Source organism: Homo sapiens, chromosome 5 (assembly GCF_000001405.40).
Source record: "Homo sapiens chromosome 5, GRCh38.p14 Primary Assembly".
NCBI lineage: Eukaryota > Metazoa > Chordata > Mammalia > Primates > Hominidae > Homo > Homo sapiens.
This window is the reverse complement of record NC_000005.10, coordinates 178,547,695-178,568,479: the sequence shown is the minus strand read 5'-3', so window position 1 is coordinate 178,568,479 and position 20,785 is coordinate 178,547,695. Positions and strand designations below refer to the sequence as shown.

The window sequence follows — 20,785 nt, the reverse complement described above, 5'->3', positions numbered from 1 at the left end:
GTTAATTTTATGTTAATGATTATGTGAATTTCACCTCAGTTAAAAAAATAAATCCATTCTAAAAAATAACAAGGCTATATCTTATTTGGTGGTAAGTGACTTTGTGATTATGCTTTTTTTTTTTAAAACTAAATTACACCTTAGATTTCACCCATTTCTTCTCTCTAATGTCCTTTTCCTATTCCACGGTCCATCTAGGACACACGTTGCATTTGATTGTGCTGTCTTCTTAGTCTCTTCCAATCTATGACCATTTCTCAGTCTTCCCTTGCTTTGCATGGCCTTGACAGTTTTGAGACATATTAAGCAGGTATTTTATAGAATGTCTCACAATTTGGGATAGTCTAATACTTCTCATGAGGAGCATTTGGAAAGAATACCACTGAGGTGGATTGCCATGTTCATGGCATCCCATCGGGGGCCCATGGGGCCAGCATGAGGTATTCCTGTGACATGAACCTTGATCACTTGGTTGAGGGAAGGGAAATCTGCCAGATTTCTCCATTATAAAGTTATTGTTTAAGTCTAGCCCATATCAAGGGGAGGGGAAGTTAGCTTCACCTCCGGGAAGAGGGAAGTATTTACATATATTATTTGGAATTCTGTAAGGAAGTTTTATCTCTTCTCTCCATTTATTTATTCAATCATTTATATCACTGTAGACTCAAGGATATTTAATTTATTCTTTGCGTTATAAGACCACACAACATTATTTATTTTGTTGCTTAAATTGTTCCAGCTTTGGCCATTCTAAGCTCTTTCAGGTTGGTTTTCAGGCTGGAGTGCAGTGGCACAATCTCTGCTCACTGCAACCTCCGTCTCCCAGTTTGTGCCTCAGCTTCTCAAGTAGCTGGGATTACAGGCCTGATCCAACATGCCTGGCTAATTTTTGTATTTTTAATAGAGACAGGGTTTCACCATGTTAGCCAGGCTGGTGTTGAACTCCTGACCTCAAGTAATCTGCCCGTCCTGGTGTCCCAAATTGCTGGGATTACAGGCGTGAACCACCACACCCAGCCTTTCAGGTTGGTTCTTATGTTTCTTTGACGAGTGCCCCTGACCCCAACCCCTTTGTAAAGCACTTCCTTACTTTCGGGCACTGTAAGACTCCAGGCTCATCTTGTGTTTTTTCTGCCTTGGCCCTAGAATTTCTCATTTCTCATCTCTCCAAGAAGCCCTGGTTCCTTTTATTGGAGAATGATATTAGAGACCAAGATCTGGGTACTGTGTGTGCTTGTTACTACTAGGGTATGACTGTTTGTAGAACTTCTCTGCAGACAGAGGGAGGTGTAGAAACATGTATATTGACTCCTCTATATGCACATATCTGTGATGATTTCTGTATGTATCTATCTGTGTACAGAACATGAACATGACCTCATGGTTATGTCTTCGATACTGATTCAGCACCACAGGGTTCACTGTAGCTTTCCTCCTTTGCTTATTTGTAACTTCTTTCTTGGACAGTGAGAAACCTGGCTCTCATTACTCATAATTTGTTTACTTATCTGTTCAACCCTAATGTGTATATAAAGTAGTTTCAAAATTGCTAACCTGAATCCCTGTGAGAAACATCTTTACCGCCTAGCTAGAGTACAGTGTTTACATCAGATTCCTTTTGTCTTCAGCCTTAGAGTTTTCTTTTCTTTCTTTCTTTTTTTTTTGAGACAGAGTCTCACTCTGTCGCCCAGGCTGGAGTGCAGTGGCACGATCTTGGCTCACTGCAACCTTCGCCTCCCGGGTTCAAGTGATTCTCCTGCCTCAGCCTCCCAAGTAGCTGGGATTGCAGGTGCACGCCACCATATCAGGCTAATTTTTATATTTTTAGTAGAGAGGGGATTTCATCATGTTGGCCAGGCTGGTCTCGAACTCCTGACCTCAGGTGATCCTCCCGCCTCTGCCTCCCAAAGTGCTGGGATTACAGGCGCGAGCCACCACACCTGGCCAGCCTTAGAGTTTTCAATGAAAACACCATTTTGCAACGTTACTTAGGTGAGCTACACTTTTCCCCAACCTTCAGTGAGGTTATGCCATACAACTTTAGTATAGTTAGATTTGTTATTCTAGCCTGGGTTTCTCCAGCATCCTGACTTTTGGTTTGTAATTGGTATTCATTACAGGTCACTCTTTGGGATGGACAGTGCTGTGGTTTTTGACAAATGCATAATCATGGGTCCATCATCCCAGGACCACACAGAACAGTTCTGTCACCCTTAATCTCCTCCATGCTGCCCTTGTAGTTAATTCCTGTCACTCTCCCACCCTTTTGCAGACACTGTACTGGTTTCTATCTGAGTTATGTATGGCTTGGCTTCTGATAGCAACTTTATTGTTATTTTTAATTTATTTTTTGGGATGGAGTCTTGCTCTTGTTGCCCAGGCTGGAGTGCAATGACATGCTCTCACTCACTGCAACCTCTGCCTTCCGGGTTCAAGTGATTCTCCTGCCTCAGCCTCTTGAGTATCTGGGACTACAGATGTGTGCCACTACGCCCGGCTAATTTTTTTTTTTTTTTTTGTATTTTTTTTAGTAGAGATGGGGTTTCACCATTTTGGCCAGGCTAGTCACGAACTCCTGACCTCAGGTGATCTGCCTGCCTCGGCCTCCCAAAGTGCTGGGATTACAGGTGTGAGCCACCGCGCCCGGCCCTGATAGCTTTAAAGAATGTTTGTAGATAGGAACATTACTTGAGAGCAGAGGTTGTCATCTATGATCCATGTCAGTTGCTACCAGGATTTAAGTCCAGCCCTGACACTTCTCTTTCTGTCTCAATTTTCCCATCTGTAAATGGGTGTAATAAGAATCCCAGCCGCGTGGGGGTTATCAGGAGGAATAGATAAGATAATAGCAATTGGCGCAGTGTCTGGCCCATAATATGTAATCCAGTCTTGATAATAATACTTCAGTTGTATTTGTTATCATCATCATCGTGGTGGGGTATCAAAAGAGAACGTTTAAAGGGGTCAGGAAAAGGAGTCTCCTCGGGTTGCTGGTGGTGGTGAGAAGGCTTGAACTGTCTCTTCGTAAGCAGGTAGAAGGGGAGCAGAGAAGCTGTGCCTGTGGTCAGCATTTGGTTCTCGACAAGCCCTTCCTCTGGTGTTTGTGGTGTGCCTGTACTCACAGGATGGACCCTGGAGCTGGGCCTCCCTGAGGAGACAGAGTCTGTCGCTCCGAAATTGCCCTCAGCGGGGGGATTTCAAGGGTTTACATTGTCTCTTCTACTTCCAGACTTTTTTGTTTTTCACTGAGAAGATGATATCACAACAGCCCAGAAAGAAGAAAATCACCATCATTCCAACACCCATGTGGGTTGTTTTGTTAGTTGCTGTTCCCCCATGCCTGTGTTTCTACGTCAATGTAGACATTTTATTTATTGTAGCATAAGCATTTTTCCTTGTTGCTACACAGTCTTCATAATCCTATTTCCTGATGTGACAGTTGCGTCAAGGAGATTCCACATCTTTCACTAAACCATTCCCACTGTTTTACGGTGCAACTTCTGCATAAATATCATGTTTTGCTTCTGCTGATTTATTCCCTTAGGATATATTCTCCAGAGTAGGAATTTTTAGTCAAAGGATAGAAATGTCTTAATTATTTACAGCGTTTTACAGGAATAAATCATTGCATCTTTCTTTTCTATGTCAATCTGTATTTCCTCAGAACAAAACCACTTAAGGATGTGATCAAACATCTGGTGAAGTGTTCAAGACTAGTGCCCCGACAGATCGTTAATAAACGTATCCTCTGACCATGTCATGAATGCTTTTCTAAAAACCAGGATTTCCCTGATTCCCTGAGCTCTTGCCGCCCTTCCCCCAGACTTCAAGTTCTCCTTCCCAGTACTTCTAGAAGGGAACTTGCCCAAAGTCTCTGGTCTTTTTCTCAGAAACTCATCCTTTATTTACTTTTAGAGTCAGGACTTGTTTGCATATGTAAAACCAGGACCATATTGTTTGCAGATGCTGGGGGTGCTGCCAGATAATTGAATGTAAAATGCTGAGGCTTTTAAGTCATTTTTACAAACCTGGACACAAAGGAATATTTTCTTAGGATTAAAAAAAAAAAGAGCATGAAGTAAAGATTGTGAGATTGGGTTTCTAATTCAAACATTTCACTTTGTATTCTTAGTAGTCAGGATACAGAAAGTGAGGGGCCTGGAGGTGGGGGAGAGGTGGGGTCCGGGAGAGAAAACTTTACAGATTCACCATCTAATTGAGAGAAACAAAAGCACAAAAGGAGTTAGGATAAATGACCAGCACAATCCCAGTAACCTGTGATCCCGCCGCTAGCATTAACAGTACCTAGCTTTTTATATTAAGGTGAGAGTAGCTCAAAAGTAACTGTGTTTCCTATCAGTGTTGATAAAATCCTTCTCCCCCTTCAGGGAGAGGTTCAGATGTGATAGCAGTAGCCCAAGTGTGACAGCAGTTGTTAAAAGTGAATTGTTTTTGGCATGAAATGCTTTTGTTTAAAAAATGAAATCAGTGTGGAAGTCCTTTCTGTCCTGTCTAGCACTGATAAAAACAGATGAGAGTTTCTTACACAGGTTGACTGGCTTAAACTAAAATGTTGGGTTTCTTCTCCAAGTACGTTTTGAAATCTGCCTTAATATCTGCGAATACAATGGGGAAAAGCGTGAGTTCTGGCTGGGCGCGGTGACTCAACGTCTGTAATCCCACACTTTGAGAGGCCAAGGCAGGAGGATTGCTTGAGCCCAGGAATTTGGGACCAGCCTGGGCAACATAGTGAAACCCCGTCTCTACAAAAAATTTAAAAATTAGCTGGGTGTGGTGGTACCTTCGTGTATACTCAGCTACTCAGGAGGCTGAAGTGGGAGGATTGCTTGAGCCTGAGAGGTTGAGGCTGCAGTGAGCGGAGATGGTGCCACTGCATTCCAGCCTGGATGACAGAGTGAGACCCTGTCTCAAAAAAAAAAAAAAAAAAAAAAAGTGAGTTCTGAGGTCCGGCTCAAGGGTGCAGCTTTTGCGTGGGCCCCCCATTCAACTGGGACAGGTGTGGCCAGTGTGCTCCATTCTGCGCAGAAGCCTCAGCCCCTCATGGACTCCACTCCAGGCAGCCCTGCTGGGAGTGGGGATTAGTAGGGGTGGTGTCTGCTGCGCCTGGGTGGAGCAGCTCTCACTCACAGGCTGCGGGGGGCCTTTGGAAGCTGGGGGCTGGCCCAGGCTGCTCACAAGGGTCCTGTGGGACAGCTGGGCAGCTCCATCCAAAGCAGCAGGGAGTGGCAGGTCCAGTCCCTGCAGGAAGCTGGAAGCCTGGCATCCAGAGGCCTAGCCAGGTTCCGATTTACAGGGCAAGTCAAGGACTTGCAGAGTCAGGGCTGGGGAGTGCAGTGATGATGGAGGAGTGAGTGCGCCTAAAGGCACCCCCTGGAGTACCCTCTGGCTGCCCTGGTATTGCTTTTGAGAGGTGAAGCCAGCTGGACTTCCTGGGTGCAGTGGGGACTTGGAGAACTTTTCTTACAAGAGGTTTGTAAAATGCACCAATCAGTGCTCTGTAAAAATGCACCAATCAGTGCTCTGTAGCTAGCTAGAGGTTTGTAAAATGCACCAATCAGTGCTCTGTAAAAATGCACCAAACAGCGCTCTGTAGCTAGCTAGAGGTTTGTAAAATGGACCAATCAGCATTCTGTAAAGTGGACCAATCAGCACTCTGTAAAGTGGACCAATCAGCAGGACATGGGCGGGGACAAATAACGGAATAAAAGCCCGCACCCCCCCCACCACCAGCCAGCGGCAGCAACCTGCGTGGGTCCCTCACCTTGTGGGAGCTTTGTTCTTTTGCTCTTCACAATAAATCTCCTTGCTGCTCACTCTTTGTGTCAGTGTCATCTTTAAGAGCTGTAACACTCACCAGGAAGGTAGGCGGCTCCATTCTTTTTTTTTTTTTTTTTCTTTTTTTATTTGAGACGGAGTCTCTCTGTCGCCCAGGCTGGAGTGCAGTGGCGCAATCTCGGCTCACTGCAAGCTCCGCCTGCTGGTTTCACGCCATTCTCCTGCCTCAGCCTCTGGGGTAAGCTGGGACTACAGGCGCCCGCCACCACGCCCGGCTAATTTTTTGTATTTTTAGTGGAGGCGAGGTTTCACCATGTTAGCCAGGATGGTCTCGATCTCCTGACCTCGTGATCCGCCGGCCTCGGCGTCCCAAAGTATGAGTGAGCGAGCCACTGTGCCCGGCCCGCGGCTCCATTCTTTTTTTTTTTTTTTTTCTTTTTTTGAGATGGAGTCTCGCTCTGGCATCCAGGCTGGAGTGCGGTGTCGCGATCTCGGCTCACTGCAACCTCCGCCTCTCGCGTTAAAGCAGTTCTCCAGCCTCAGTCTCCCAAGCAGCTGGGATTATAGGCGCCTGCCACCACGCTGTGGCTTCCTTTTTGAAGTCAGCGAGACCACGAACCCACCGGCAGGAACCAACTCCAGACACACTTTGACCGTGGTAACTTCTTCTGTTTTAGGATCTGCTTCGCTCTCTGCGCCTCTTGTTGCCCGTCTGTAAAATGAGGCTGAAATGGCAGGTGGAGTGGAACTGTGAAGCGCCTTTCCGGTGGCTGGAGGTGCCCTGGTGAAGTCTCCCGGTCCTGGGCTGTTCCAGTCAGAGGCAGACAGGGCCTGGCTGAGGTCTTGTCGTCTGTGCAAATTCTCTCCTCCTCTAAAGCAGTGCCTAAAAATACTGTTTAATGTTTGAACAGGAAGCCCTCGGTTCTCATGGTGGCGCTGCACTGTTCACTTAGGTCAGCACAGATTTGTGCTCTTTGTTTTGCTTTTAGGGGGATTTTTTTTTCCCCTAGAGAAAGGTTAAAACTGTGTGTCTTCATTGGGACTCAAGTTCTGGCTAGTTTTGGGATTTGGGCCAATTGCTTCATTCCGCTCAACCTAGATTTGGGATGTGGGACAAATTTCTTTTTTTCCAAGCTTGCGTTCCTCATCTGTGGGGCAGGGACCGTTTGTTCTGGCCTCAGGGGTGCCCATAGGGTTCCATCGGGCCAGGAGCCTGCCAGAGCAGTCCCTGCATTGTAGGGGAGCTGTGCCTTTTGACCCTCGTTCTGTGGTAATTCTTTTCCTCTCACCCAAATCTGGCACAGGGCTGGGCATGTGTAGGGATTCTTGTTAAATTTTACCGAACCAAATTTTCTAGGCCAAGGATCCCCACTGGTAAGAGGAAAGGAAAATGGAAAACAGAAAACAACAAAGGAAAATGTTTTCATCAGGGTGATTCAACCCGGGCCATCAGGTCCCAGGCTGGTGGGCTAGGAGGGGCTGCAGCCATGGGGTTTTGGGACTTCCCGGGTGTGGACGGGGTGGCCTTGTGAGTGCAGAAAGCCGCCTGGAGCATTAACTTTGATCTGCCCTCTCCAGGCCTCCCTCAGCCCCAGCCTCCCTCCCTGCAGGGCTGGTGGTCGCTGTGGCTTTTGACTTGCAGGACGCTGTTTCTGTCGTAACTCTTGGTATTCTATTTGAAAATGCTGTAACAAAGCAGAAACCTGCCACCTTTTCAGGGACTCACCAGTAACTGTTTAGTGTTTGTGTTTGTTTTTCCTCATTCTAAAATTCCCTGTAGAGTTTAAGGATCTTTTGAGAGATGGTCTCACAGACAGCCCCAGCACTGTAGATGGTTTAGATACATTTGTTTTTGCTGATGTTTCCACTTTTACCCCTCTCTGTTCTGAAACTCATTCTCTCCTCGTTTTTTTTCTTTTTTTTTTTCCGGCTCAGAAGTTGGACGGACTAGCGAAGATCCGGACTGCTCGGGAAGCTCCATCCGAATGTGTCTGCCCCCCAGGTAAGTGAAGGTTGAGCTCCCTTCTGGCTCCTGCGTTCGGCCGCCGTTTGCTTGGGATTGCTGAGAACAGCATGGTCCGGAAGGTGGACTGGGGTGTCAGGCTGTCGTCTTCGTGCACTGGCCTGGGGCCTTTCTTTCCCACATTGACCCTGGCAGGCTCTCTGGTCGGTTTCCAGCAAAGTAAACGGACTCGGTTTGCTGGGTGGTATTGGTGGAGGAGCTAAGACATTGTCGGAGATGACTTAGCTGCCTGAAGATTTAGATGGTAGGGAAGTAGCAGCTGGCCCATTTCAAAGATGGAGAAAGGGGTGTGAACTGATGGGAGGTGACAGCCTGGAACCCCAGTTGCCACCACTGTACCAACATTGCAACCAGAGCTCTATGTCAGACGTGCAGAAGGTAGATAAATAGTGGACGTAGCCTTCTTGTTTTCATTTCTTGCGGTGGAGGCAGAGGAAGGAAACAGGCAATGAGGTCTGAATTATTCAAATTATCATAGACTCTCTTTGGTTTTGCTGGTGCAGACCAGGATGGCTGTGAATGAAACCAGGAATTGTTGACTTCTAATCCACATGGCTCAAATCCAGGCTCATAACAGGTCTCCTGGGTGTCCTCAGGGGAGCTTTGCACAGGCCATGGCCCAGTGTGTGGTCTCTAACACTGGTGTTTTCAGGGTTAGAATGACCCTCCCTTAGAATGGTGTCTGATACCAGTGGATGAGTGGAAAATGGTGATGTGTCTCAGACTTCCCGACGTGCAGGGAAAGGTGACTTTTGGGTGATGTGTCTCAGACTTCTCGACGTGCAGGGAAAGGTGACTTTTGGGTGATGTGTCTCAGACTTCTCGACGTGCAGGGAAAGGTGACTTTTGGGTGATGTGTCTCAGACTTCTCGATGTGCAGGGAAAGGTCTCTTTTGGGTGATGTGTCTCAGACTTCTCGACATGCAGGGAAAGGTGGCTTTTGGGTGATGTGTCTCAGACTTCTCGACGTGCAGGGAAAGGTGACTTTTGGATGATGTGTCTCAGACTTCTCGACGTGCAGGGAAAGGTGACTTTTGGGTGATGTGTCTCAGACTTCTCGACCTGCAGGGAAAGGTGACTTTTGGGTGATGTGTCTCAGACTTCTCGACGTGCAGGGAAAGGTCTCTTTTGGGTGATGTGTCTCAGACTTCTCGATGTGCAGGGAAAGGTGGCTTTTGGGTGATGTGTCTCAGACTTCTCGACGTGCAGGGAAAGGTGGCTTTTGAGTGATGTGTCTCAGACTTCTCGACATGCAGGGAAAGGTGACTTTTGTTATTGGTCCAGAGAAGACAGGAGCTGCGCAGTGTCCCTTGTCTTCTCTCTCATTCCTTCCATTAGCCAAGTGTCCGGAAACCAAACTCACTGAAAACATCCCAGGGTTGGGAGATGCCCCGAGATTTCTGCAAAGGTATATCTCATGGTGTGAAAATTCCGTCTCTGAGGGCCAGGTGGGAGAAGAATTTTATGGTTGAGCTTGAGCTAGCCTTTATAGGACCTCTGAGATTTTAATACGAGAAAGAGGATTTGACAAGGGAATGACTCCATTCACAGATCAAGAAGTCAGAAACTGTGGCCGGGCGCGGTGGCCCACGCCTGTAATCCCAGCACTTTGGGAGGCCGAGGCAGGTGGATCACCTGAGGTCAGGAGTTCGAGAGCAGTCTGGCCAACGTGGTGAAACCCTGTCTCTACAAAAAATATAAAAAATTAGCCAGGCATGGTGGCGCATGCCTGTAGTCACAGCTACTTGGGAGGCTGAGGTGGGAGAATTGCTTCATCCTGGGAGGTGGAGGTTGCAGTGAGCCGAGATTGCACCATTGCACTCCAGCCTGGGTGACAGAGCGAGACTCCATCAAAAAAAAAAAAAAGTCAGAAATTGCAATTACATGGGAGGAAAAATTCACATCCACAAATGGATTTTTAGATGATCTGCAAAATGTGTAAAATGCCAACAGTCCTTCTTTTTCGCTCCCCTCTTTCTGAGTGTTACTGGGTGCATACCTGTGTGTGTCTTTTGAACTGGGAGTCACGCCCCATTTGTGAGACACCAAATCCGTTTAGTGGGTTGCCGCCAGCAACCACCAGCATGAAATTGTGAGCTGGCACAGAAGTCTGGAATAAAAAAGGCCCGAGTGAAATTTTGGTTTTGGCTATTAATATTTGTAGATTGGACTTGGATGGTGTGAGATGGGTTTCTTGCTGTGGGTTACTAACAGAAGGCTTGAAAGTCCCCAAGACAGATGATGGCTGGAGAGTGGGAGAAGGGGGACACAAGCTGGCATGGAGCTCCCGGATCAATCAGAACTGGAGCCACATCTTGGGTCTGCCCCTTACTAGCACTGAGGGTCTTTATCAGTAAATGATAACATCTTGAAGCGGGCTCTGGGGGGCTTTCTGAGGTTATGGAGAAGGTATAAGTTAAAGCCAGTGACTACAGATGGACCTGTGTCCTGCCTTCCATCAGGAGTGGGGAGCAGGGAACAGGGGTCCTGAACTCCTCTAGAAAGAGGCCCCCAAGAAGGTCTTGGGAAGACCATGGGGGACTGAAGGGCTGGTCAGAGCCTCTAGTCCCACCGAGAGGAAGGCTTGGTAGACTCCCCGGCTCCCTGGGGAGCCCTGATCATCAGCACCGTGCTGATGCTGTCCCAGGAACTCCAGGCTGTGATGGAGGCCATCCTGGTAGGTGTGGTCAGTGTGGCCTTGGGGTGCAGCATGACGACCCTAGCCAGACCCCTCAGCACACCCCTGTCCATGCCTGCACTTTCTCTCCTGTCACCTCGAGAGCCCCTTAGACCAGAACCTTCATCAACACTAAACCCCAGCAGGCCGGCCCATGAGCCCCTTGTCTTACAAAGAACAGAGGCCCTGTCTCCAACACCAGAAGTCCTAACTCATTCCTATTCTTCCCGGCTCCAAGGCTCCAAGGCTCTCCAGCGTGTCCCTCGGGCTTTTGGAGTGTGGAGACATAGACCACATTCTGCAGTGGGGCTCCCTGTCTGATTATAGCTGGCCGCAGCTCCCCACCTAGCAGCCCGGGGAGTCAGCGGAATCTTTTGTTGGATCCTAGCATGCAGCAGGCAGATAAGGAAGGCCAGAGGAGGGGCGGCTCTTCTGGATGTGCCACCCATTGCGAGGCTGAGTGTGGTGGCAGGGGCTTCTCTCTCGCCCCAGCCAGTGGATATCGCTGGCAGGAGGACTGGCGGGGGGCCCTGAGCTGGCTCTGGTGAGCCTTGCACCCATCCTCAATAAAATAGTGTAGTGGGTTGAATCCTGTCGCCCTCAAAAGATATGTCCAAGTCCTAACCCCCAGTACCTGTGAATGTGACCTTTGAAAATAGGGTCTTTGCGGGTGTAATTAGGGATCTCAGAATAGGTCATTCAGCATTTAGGGTGTGTCTACATCCAATGCCAATTGTCCTTAAATGAGGCAAGGAGAGATTTGAGGCAGAGACGCACAGACCAGAGGGCTAGGTGACAGCGGAGTGGGGATTGGCGTGCTGCGTGTGCCAGCCAAGAAACACCAAAATGCCTGCAGCCACCAGAGCTATGGAGGGGTGTGGGAGGGACTCTCCCTGAGGAGCCCGCCCCGCAGACACCTTGGACTTCTTGCCCCTAGAACTGGGAGGGCTTGTGGTAATTTTTTGCCACGGCAGACCTGTGTCTTATTTTATTTTACTTTACTTTTCATTTTTTTAATTTATTTATTTTTGAGATAGCGTTTCACTCTTGTTGCCCAGGCTGGAGTGCAATGGCGCGATCTCAGCTCACTGCAGCCTCTGCCTCCCGTATTCAAGCGATTCTCCTGCCTCAGCCTCCCGAGTAGCTGAGATTACAGGCTCCCATCACCATGCCTGGCTAATTTTTGTTTTTTTAGTAGAGACGGGGTTTCATCATGTTGGCCAGGCTGGTCTCCAACTCCTGACCTCAAGTGATCCACCTGCCTCAGCCTCCCAAAGTGTTGGACTACAGGCATGAGCTACCACACTCAGCTTTTTTATTTTATTTTATTTTATTTTATTTTATTTTATTTTATTTTAATTTGACAGAGTTTCGTTCTTGTTGCCCAGGCTGGAGTGCAGTGGTGCGATCTTGGCTCACTGCAACCTCCACCTCCCAGGTTCAAGCAATTCTCCTGCCTCAGCCTCCCAAGTAGCTGGGACTACAGATGCCTGCCACCACGCCCAGCTAATTTTTGTATTTTTATTAGAGACGGGGTTTCACCATGTTGGCCAGGCTGGTCTCGAACTCCTGACCTCAGGTGATACACCCGCCTCGGCCTCCCAAAGTACTGGGATTATAGGCGTGAGCCACCATGCCTGGCCCATTTCAACTAATTTTAAAGTAGTAACTCCTCCTCCTCCTTCTTTTTTTTTAATAACGCAACAGTTATCCCGCATTGTTTTTCATGGGCTGCCTTGTTCATGGGTTTGCCCTTTCTCTTTGAGGTGGTCTGTGCCCGTCTGTGTATCCGAGATAGCTGCTGCCTTGTTTTGGTCCAGGAAAGAATCTGGCCATGCTGTTGGAATGTCCTGTAATGCACTTGGCCAGTCCCCGCCAAGGACGTTTGGGTCATTTCCGACCCTGTGTTATTCAGACAGGGCTGCGTGTGTGCTGTGATGGAGGGAAGAAGGCCTGCTGTGTAGCCTGTTGTCTGACTTCCTCGTGCTTTGTTCTCCCAGGCACGCTGCAGGCCTGAGGGTATTGACTGAAGGACGGGAGCCCTCAGTCTGTGGGGAGAGGCTGGGCTTTACCGCAGCAAACACAGGTTCCTGCAGGGAGGCTCTGGCCAGGTGGGTCCTGAAGCCTCCCCCTGGGAGCTGCCCTATGGTCCGGCCTCCACCGTCTGTGAACAGTAGTGACTCGGGGGCATCCCAGGGAACTGGTGAGGGCCGGCACCTTGGAGCCTGGGAACCTGGACTTGAGTCTTGACTCCGCCTTGTAAATAACTGCCCTGTGGTCCCACTCCACGTGTCCTGGAGCCAAGGGTCACTGTGGCCCTTGCATTCACTCACTCTTTGGGTTACAAGCATCAGAACATTAATTAGTGTTCTGATCACCCTGCACTAATAAAGCGAAAAAGGAAATTTTTAGTGCAGACAACTAGAAATGGAAAGGTCTGAGGTGCAGCTGGCTTCAGGCCCATCTGGGCTCAGGGCTCGCTCTCCTCTCTCAGCTCTTCTCCGCTTGTCTTCAGACAGCCTCTGCTGGAGTGACCTATGCTTGGGAAGGTGGCCGCCAGTATAGCTCTAGGTGTATATCACATGTGCTCAGCAACCCCAGCAGATACAGCACTGTTCTTTCCCGAAAGTCTCAGAATTGGGGCATGGGGAGTGTTATGGGTTGAACTGTGTCCTCCCATATTCGTATCTTGAAGTCCTAACCCTCAGGGCTTCAGAATGGGACTGTGTTTGGAGATAACAATGTTCCCTTGGAGAGTAGGTGACATGAGGCCTTAGGGTGGGCCCTCATGACCGCTGTCCCTGTAATAAAAGGAGATTTGGACACGTAGACCCATGCAGAGGGCAGGCCATGTGAAGACACGTGGAGAAGACACTTTTGCTGAGCCATGAGCTCAGAAGGAAATCAGCCTGACGGCACCTTATCACATTTCTGCTGTTTTAAGCCGCACAGTCTGTGGTACCTTTTTATGTCCACACCCAGACACTAACCCAGGGAGTTATTGTTTAAGGGGCACCTCGTTTCTGTTTGGAAAGATGAAAAGTCCTGGAAGTGGATAGAGGGGATGGTTGTTGTGTTTAATCTTGGAACTTCGTGCTTTAAAATGCTCAGGTTTATGTTATATGTATTTTACCATGATTTTTTTTTTTACGTCCCAGAATGGATCCCAGTTTGCCTGGCTTGGGGCAGGTGCCTCTCCTTGAAAAATTGCACTGACTTGGAGCATGGGACACGTTGATGGGCCAGGTCATTGGTGGATCATGTGACCATTCTTGGAACCAGGGGAGACAAAGTGGGGGAGGGTTGGCAATACCAGAAGCATGTGGTGTCGGGGAGGGTGGTTCCTTCATGAAAAATTAGGATCTTTTCCCAGAAGAGAGAACGAATATAGCTGGGCACAAGCAGTAGGTGACCAGACTCTTCCGGTGACGGCTGGCCCAGTCACCGCCAGGTGGTTTGCAAAGGTGTAACCAAAGGGTTGGCTCCACTTAAAGCACACCAGGAGGGCTGGGCGTGGTGGCACACATCTGTAATTCCAGCACTTTGGGAGGCCGAAGTGGGCAGATCACCTCAGGTCAGGAGTTCGAGAGCAGCCTGGCCAACATGGCGAAACCCCGTCTCTACTAAAAATGCAAAAATTAGCTGGGCATAGTGGCACACGCCTGTAATCCCAGTTACTTAGGAGGCTGAGGCAGGAGGATTGCTTGAACTCAGGAGGCAGAGGTTGCAGTGAGCCAAGATTGAGCCATTGCACCCCAGCCTGGGTGACAGAGCGAGACTCCATCTCAAAGAAAAAAAAAAAGAAGAAAGGAAAAAATAAAACACACCAAGAGGCAGCGTGGCCCAGGGGAAAGTGTGTTGACTTCCCATCTAGGCTGCGTGGCCCGATTCTCTGTTGCTCACCGGCTCCGTGACCTCACACTTATCCTCCTTGTGCCTCGGTTTTCCACCTGTGAAGTGAAGTGGGGTTTCTGAGAGTAGCTGTGTCATGGGATGGTTTTGAGGATCAAATGGGTTCACATGTGCAGACAGCTTAGAACGAGGCCTGGCACTGCGTCCTCAGAGCTTGTCTGTTGTTAGGTCCGTCGCCATCAGTCGGGAGCTGCCAGAGAGGAAGGGAGAAGAGACACAGAGTAGGAGGCCACTGGGAATCTTCAGGAGGGGAAGAGCGAGGGCTTGGCAGACTTTACTGGCACGTTCTTCTAGGACGTGGGTATGAAGATGCTGGCGATGCTGGAGTGAGAGAAACAGAAAAGGAAAGTGTGTGGCCGTGAACCCTCATCAGCCACCCACGTGCCCAGAAGGCCTCGAGCAGAGCTGGGCTTCTGCCCGTCACGCTGTTTGCACTTGTTACTAACCAGGCTCAAACTGCCTGGACATTGTCAGGAACATTCCAGAATGGTATCATCCTTTTCGTTTTCTTTTTGTGTCTTTTTGGATCCTTGCAGAATATTGCAGAGACATTGTGCTTGGTTTCCAAGGATGGGCACTGTACTTGCAATGTCGGGTGATTTTCCAGAAATGAATAATAATCCAGAGTTTAATGCAAGTCAGAAATCCTCTGCTCCATCAAAACATTTGGCAGTTTGCGTAGAGGAGTGAAACTCCACTTAGGACCGTAGAAAGCACAATGTGGAAGTTATACAGAACCTGATACATTTCGTTGATAGTTTATGGAAAATGTCACAGAGCGGAACAGAAGTGGTAAAAGTTGCTCATATTCAGCCTGTTTACTGCCTTACTGCCTTTGTTGGCTGGAAAAGAGCCTAGCGAAGGGCACACGCTGTCTTGGGACTTTTTTTTTTTTTTTTTTTAAGATAGGATCTCACTCTGTCGGCCAGGCAGAAGTGCAGTGGTGCAGTCACGGTTCACTGCAACCTTGAACTCCTGAGCTCAAGTGATCCTCCTGCCTCAGCCGGGATAATAGCTGGGACCACAGGCGTGTGCCACCATGGCTAATTAAAAAAAATTTTCCTGGCCAGGCGCAGTGGCTCACGCCTGTAATCCCAGCACTTTGGGAGGCCAAGGCGGGGGGATCACAAGGTCAGAAGATCAAGACCATCCTGGCCAACATGGTGAAATCCTCTACTAAAAATACAAAAATTAGCCAGGTGTGGTGGCACGCGCCTGTAGTCCCAGCTACTCAGGAGACTGAGGCAGGAGAATCACTTGAACCCGGGAGGTAGAGGTTGCAGTGAGCCAAGATCGCACCACTGCACCCCAGCCTGGCGACAGAGTGAGACTCTGTCTGAAAAAAATTTTTTTTTTTTTTTTTTTAATTTTTTTTGGTGAGTTAGGAGCTCACTTTTTTGCCCAGGCAGGTCTCGAACTCCTGCTTTCAAAAGATCCCCTCCCAAAGTGCTGGGATTACAGGGGTGAGCCACCTTGCCCAGCCTCTCATAGGATTTCAATGCAAGAAATTGTTACCCTTTTTGGGATTATTTTTTATAGAATTTTTTAAAATGATACACGTATATATTTATAAGCATTAAATCTCAGTCGACTTGAGTTTATGGCAAAATTGAGTGGCCTATAAGGCAGCTACCTTGGTATGTCAGACTCTGCCAAGTGAAAGGAGGTCATTTGTGTGTCTGATTTTTTGGGGGGCACGAGAATACTCTGGAGGCTGGTTGCCATTCCCTCGCTTCACTATGCATAGGTATTTGTTCATTCATTCATTCATTCATTCGTCTCTCCTACCCTATTTTGTGCTGGTCCTGGGGGAGCTATTGACTAAGATTCTTAGAGGCAATTGCAGACCCAGTTGTTAGAGGAAGGCAGGAGAGGTACAAGACCCATAACAGATGCGGAGAATAGGATGAGCCCTGAGGAAACACCAGTCCTACAGAAATTACAAGGAGAGATCACTTCGGGTCAGGAGGATCTGGGTTGGAGGAGGGTCCTTCCTGGGGAAGATGATAATTGGGCAAGGTTTTGAAGACTGGTTGTCAGGTTAGCCACCTGGGATGGGGGATGCATTCTGAGAGACTGACATCCTGAGTGGAGGCAGAGGGGAGCTCCGAGCACCGGTGGGAACTCTTGTTTGCTTGGAAGGTGGCAGTGGGAGGGGAGGGTGAGTCCAGGGTCTGGAGAGATTGAGGCTTTATTCCATGGGACACAGTTGATGGTGTCTGAGTGGAATTTAGCTTTAAGACGAGGGCTCTGGAAACAGCATGAAGGACAGACTAGATCATACTTGGTTCCAACAGAGGGGCCCCTGAGGGGGTGCTCAGGGCAGGAGACAGCTTGCCTGGTTCACTGCAGCATCCCCTAAATCCAGCACGGTGCCAGGCACGGGGAGGAGGGTTGATAACGCCCTGTCGAATGGCCATGAGAATTGATAGCCGGGAACAGCTGTGAGAGGCACTGGGTCATGTGGTGGACAGAACTCACAAACTGGGTGGGTGGGCACAGGAGAAGACAGAGAAGCCTGAAGCAGCATGCCTTTGGGGAGGGGAAGCTGCGCAGAAACAGGAAATCCCCAAAGAGGGATCAATTTGGAAGAGAAGATGGTAAGCATGGTTTTGGGCAGTGGACCTTAAGAACCAATTTGTAAGACCCACTGATGAAAGGAAAAAAATAATTAGAAGTCTTCTCTTAAAGCATAGTTTAACCACCTGAGTCTATCAATTATAAAATGTGTCATGTCCTATAAATAAAGATCTTGAAGTTTCTGTGCTGACCATTGGAATCTGGAGATGTTCTTGTGACCACTAGATGGAGCCCATTATACTCATTAAATTCTATAGAAATTGAACAGGAATGTAAAAGAAAAATAATTTATATATATTTAAATATATAAATATAAAATATATTAATATAATATATAACATATAATATATTAATATATATTTTAAAATTACTAGAAAGCACACAAAAGTTCAAACCAAGAGCAGTGACACACAAAGTTAACCACCTGCTCTGGTGTTTCTCTCCAAAAATGGAAGACCCTCAGAATTTTCCAGATGGTTCCAGAATCAAGCGGTTTGCTGTTGGTTTGGGGAGATGATGAAGATTCTGTGAAAGGTAGACTATCTGTTAGAAAACAGATTTCTAGAACATTTGCCACTGACCCAGTACTTACAGAGCACCATCAGGTTTAATTGTAGTGGAGAATCCCTGAAACTCTGGGAAGACAAGACCAGAGCTGTCTTGACCCCAGCTTGGCCAACTCCGTGCCAACTATTGAGTGACAGGTGCAGCCTTTTACTCTGTGGGGTGTCATTATCACACGCCCCCCTATGCCAGGAGCTCACCCACATGCTGTAGCGGCCTTTCCTGGGGGACAGGTTCAGTGCAGTAATACTATCTGGCTTCTTACCTGACTTCTTATGCCGGGGTATATTCCACATGGATTGAAGATCTAAATGTAAAAAATACAACCATGGCTGGCTAGACAAAAATACGATACATCACTTTTTAAAATTACGCAGTAGAAACAGATTTTATAAGCCTGGCACTGAAGTCAGAAACCATAAAGCCGTGCTTCTCAACTGGGACTGTTTTGCCCCCAGGAGGTCACATGGCAGTATTTGGAGACATTTGTAGTTGATCATACTTTGTGGGTGCTACTGGCATATGGACTAGGTAGAGGCAGGGGTGCTGTTGAGTGTCCTACAAAGCCCAGGACAGCCACCACCACAAAGAACTATCCGGTCCCAAATGTTAGTAGTGCCCAGGTTGAAAAACCTTGCCATAGAAGAAAACATTTCCTTGAACATTTTAAGCTTAAAAGGTTAAATTTTCTGTATAGACAGAAAAATCTTCTTTAGTTTACATATTTGGGCAAAAACTAAGTGAAGTTATGTGAACTCAGATCAGCTCTCACAGATAAAACAACTTGCTAGGTTTCCTAGTTTCCTGGGAGTAGAGCACTTCAGATTCCAGAAATGATATATTTGCACATTATGGTAATTTGCTAGAAGCAAGAATGGAGTCTCATGGAGGTATCTGATCATTCTTTTGCCCAACCAGATCCTTTCTTTACTTAATATTAAAAAATAATTTTAATTTTCATTACAGAATGTTTCAAATATATAAAAAAGTACAGAGAAGAATATAATACTGATGTCCGTTTCATCTAGATTTAATGAATAACATCATTTTCTCATGTTTGTTATTTTGTTGTTAAAGAAATTGTTTTTGTTTTTGTTTTTGTTTTGTTTTTTGAGACAGGATTCTGCTCTTGTTGTCCAGGCTGGAGTGCAATGGTGCAATCTCGGCTCACTGCAACCTCTGCCTCCCGGATTCAAGCGATTCTCCTGCCTCAGCTTCTCACGTAGCTGGGATTACAGGAGCACACCACCACGCCTGGCTAATTTTTTGTATTTAGTAGAGACAGGGTTTCACCATATTTGTCAGGCTGGTCTCAAACTCCTGACCTCAGGTGATCTGCCCACCTCAGCCTCCCAAAGTGATGGGATTACAGGCATGAGCCATCGTGCCTGGCCAAGAAATGAAATGTTTTAGACAGAGCCAAGGTACCAGTTCCTCTCCCATTCCCCTATTCTCTGCCAGGCAACAAATGTCTTGAGTTGGTAGCTATACTTTTTCTGCATGTTTTCTGTATATTATATTTTATTAAATATGTGTACCATGGCAATATATTTTATTGTCCTACTACTTGTTATTTGTGTGTCTTTTCATCTGTTTTATCCCTTCATTTTTTTTTTCAAGAAGTATTTGTATGGGTCCGGGCATGGTGGCTCATGCCTGTAATCCCAGCACTTTGGGAGGCCGAGGCGGGTGGATAACCTGAGGTCAGGAGTTCGAGACCAGCCTGACCAACATGGTGAAACCCCGTCTCTACTAAAAATACAAAAATTAGCCGGGTGTGGTGGCATGCGCCTGTTATCCCAGCTCCTCGGGGCTGAGGCAGGAGAATTGCTTGAACCTGGGAAGCGGAGGTTGCAGTGAGCCGAGATCGTGCCATTGCACTCCAGCCTGGGCAACAGAGCGAGACTCCATCTCAAAAAAAAAGAAGTATTTGTATGGATGCTTGCAGGTCTAGTCATTTCCTGTGACTGTCGTTTCTACAATGGAGCACTGCAGCATGCCATCGCAGTGTATGAACATACTACTATTCATCTCGTCTGCTGCTGATAGACATTTATTTTTATTTAAGTTTTTGTTGTTTTTGCTATTAAAAAGCCTTGATGGACATTTTTAAAAATTCTGTATAGAAAGCAAATGCCACCTTAAGTTTGAAAATAAGTGACAAAATGAAAAAACAATTTCAACACATACAACAAATACATAGTTAATATGCATGAGATATAAAGTGCTCTTATACAAGAATAAGGACAAGCCAGAGGCTCTAGTAAAGAATGGGCAAAGATGGGAAACAGAGGTTGCAGGGAGCCGAGATTGCGCCACTGCACTCCAGCTTGGTGACAGAATGAGACTCTGTCTCAAAAAAAAAAAAAAAAAAGAATAGGCAAAGGATGTGGATAGGGATCCCCACAGGACATTGGCAGGACGTGGAGGTGGACTGAGTGAGGGGGAGCAAGGGAGAGGGAAGATCGGGTGACTCCCGGTTTTTGGATGATGCCCAGATTTTTGAGTTGGGAACTCACTGGTGCCACTTGCCAGGATGAGAGCAGGACCAGGATGGGGACGATTAAGAGTTTGTTGAGATCTGTTAATTTTGGCATGACTGTGGGACATATGAGAGGAGATATGCAATCAGCCCTTGGATTAAATGGCCCAAAAAAGGTGGAGGCAGCAGTGCAGGGCCCGGCCGGAGTGGGCATTTGTCACAGTGATTCTGACTACATCTGTACACACGGTGCCGGGAGTGATGCTGCTATGCTGGCTGCCTTCCTTAGCCCAGAGTCCAGCAGGCCTCTTTGTTCTTTACAGAGTTTGCCAAGGTTCCCCAGAGAAACAGAACCAATAGGGTGTGTGTGTGGGGGTGAGGGGGGGTATGTGTGTGTGGGTGTGGGGGTGGGTGTGTTTGTGGGTGGGTGTGTGTGGGTGGGTATGGGGGTGTGTGGGGGGTGGGTGTGGGTATGTGGGTGTAGGTGTGTGGGTGTGTGTGGGGGGTGGGTGTGGGTGTAAGTGTGCGTGTGGGATGTGTGTATGGGTGGGTGTGGGGTGTGGGTGTGTATGGGGGTGTGGGTGTGGGTGTGTGTAGGTGGGTGGGTGTGGGGGTGTGTAGGTGGGTGGGTGTGGGGGTGTGTGTCAGTGTGTGTGGGGGGTGTGTGGGGGGTGGGTATGTGGGTATAGGTGTGGGTGTGGGGGTGTGTGGGGTGGGTGTGTGGGTGTGGGGGGTGTGTATGGGTGTGTGT

At 47.8% G+C, this 20,785-nt stretch overlaps 1 protein-coding gene across 11 annotated transcripts in view, besides 4 other annotated features; it reads left to right on the top strand.

Annotated features, from left to right (window-relative positions):
• The window catches only part of COL23A1 (collagen type XXIII alpha 1 chain), a 352,776-nt gene that overhangs the window by 21,914 nt on the left and 310,077 nt on the right, over positions 1-20,785 (top strand). For all 11 annotated transcript variants that reach the window (XM_011534691.3, XM_011534690.3, XM_011534688.3 and 8 more), the window contains exon 2: positions 7,732-7,798. In XM_011534691.3, coding sequence (XP_011532993.1) covers positions 7,732-7,798 — 67 coding nt within the window. The remainder of the gene's footprint in view (positions 1-7,731; positions 7,799-20,785) is intronic.
• Positions 5,163-5,672: an enhancer, noted in NCBI's record as "H3K4me1 hESC enhancer chr5:177989809-177990318 (GRCh37/hg19 assembly coordinates)". NCBI's record gives its function as "activates a minimal SCP1, AML or CMV promoter by ChIP-STARR-seq in primed H9 embryonic stem cells {active_cell/tissue: H9 hESC(primed)}" and the evidence as "EXISTENCE:reporter gene assay evidence [ECO:0000049][PMID:30033119]".
• Positions 5,825-6,352: an enhancer, noted in NCBI's record as "H3K4me1 hESC enhancer chr5:177989129-177989656 (GRCh37/hg19 assembly coordinates)". NCBI's record gives its function as "activates a minimal SCP1, AML or CMV promoter by ChIP-STARR-seq in primed H9 embryonic stem cells {active_cell/tissue: H9 hESC(primed)}" and the evidence as "EXISTENCE:reporter gene assay evidence [ECO:0000049][PMID:30033119]".
• Positions 6,353-6,881: an enhancer, noted in NCBI's record as "H3K4me1 hESC enhancer chr5:177988600-177989128 (GRCh37/hg19 assembly coordinates)". NCBI's record gives its function as "activates a minimal SCP1, AML or CMV promoter by ChIP-STARR-seq in primed H9 embryonic stem cells {active_cell/tissue: H9 hESC(primed)}" and the evidence as "EXISTENCE:reporter gene assay evidence [ECO:0000049][PMID:30033119]".
• Positions 13,889-14,447: an enhancer, noted in NCBI's record as "H3K27ac hESC enhancer chr5:177981034-177981592 (GRCh37/hg19 assembly coordinates)". NCBI's record gives its function as "activates a minimal SCP1, AML or CMV promoter by ChIP-STARR-seq in primed H9 embryonic stem cells {active_cell/tissue: H9 hESC(primed)}" and the evidence as "EXISTENCE:reporter gene assay evidence [ECO:0000049][PMID:30033119]".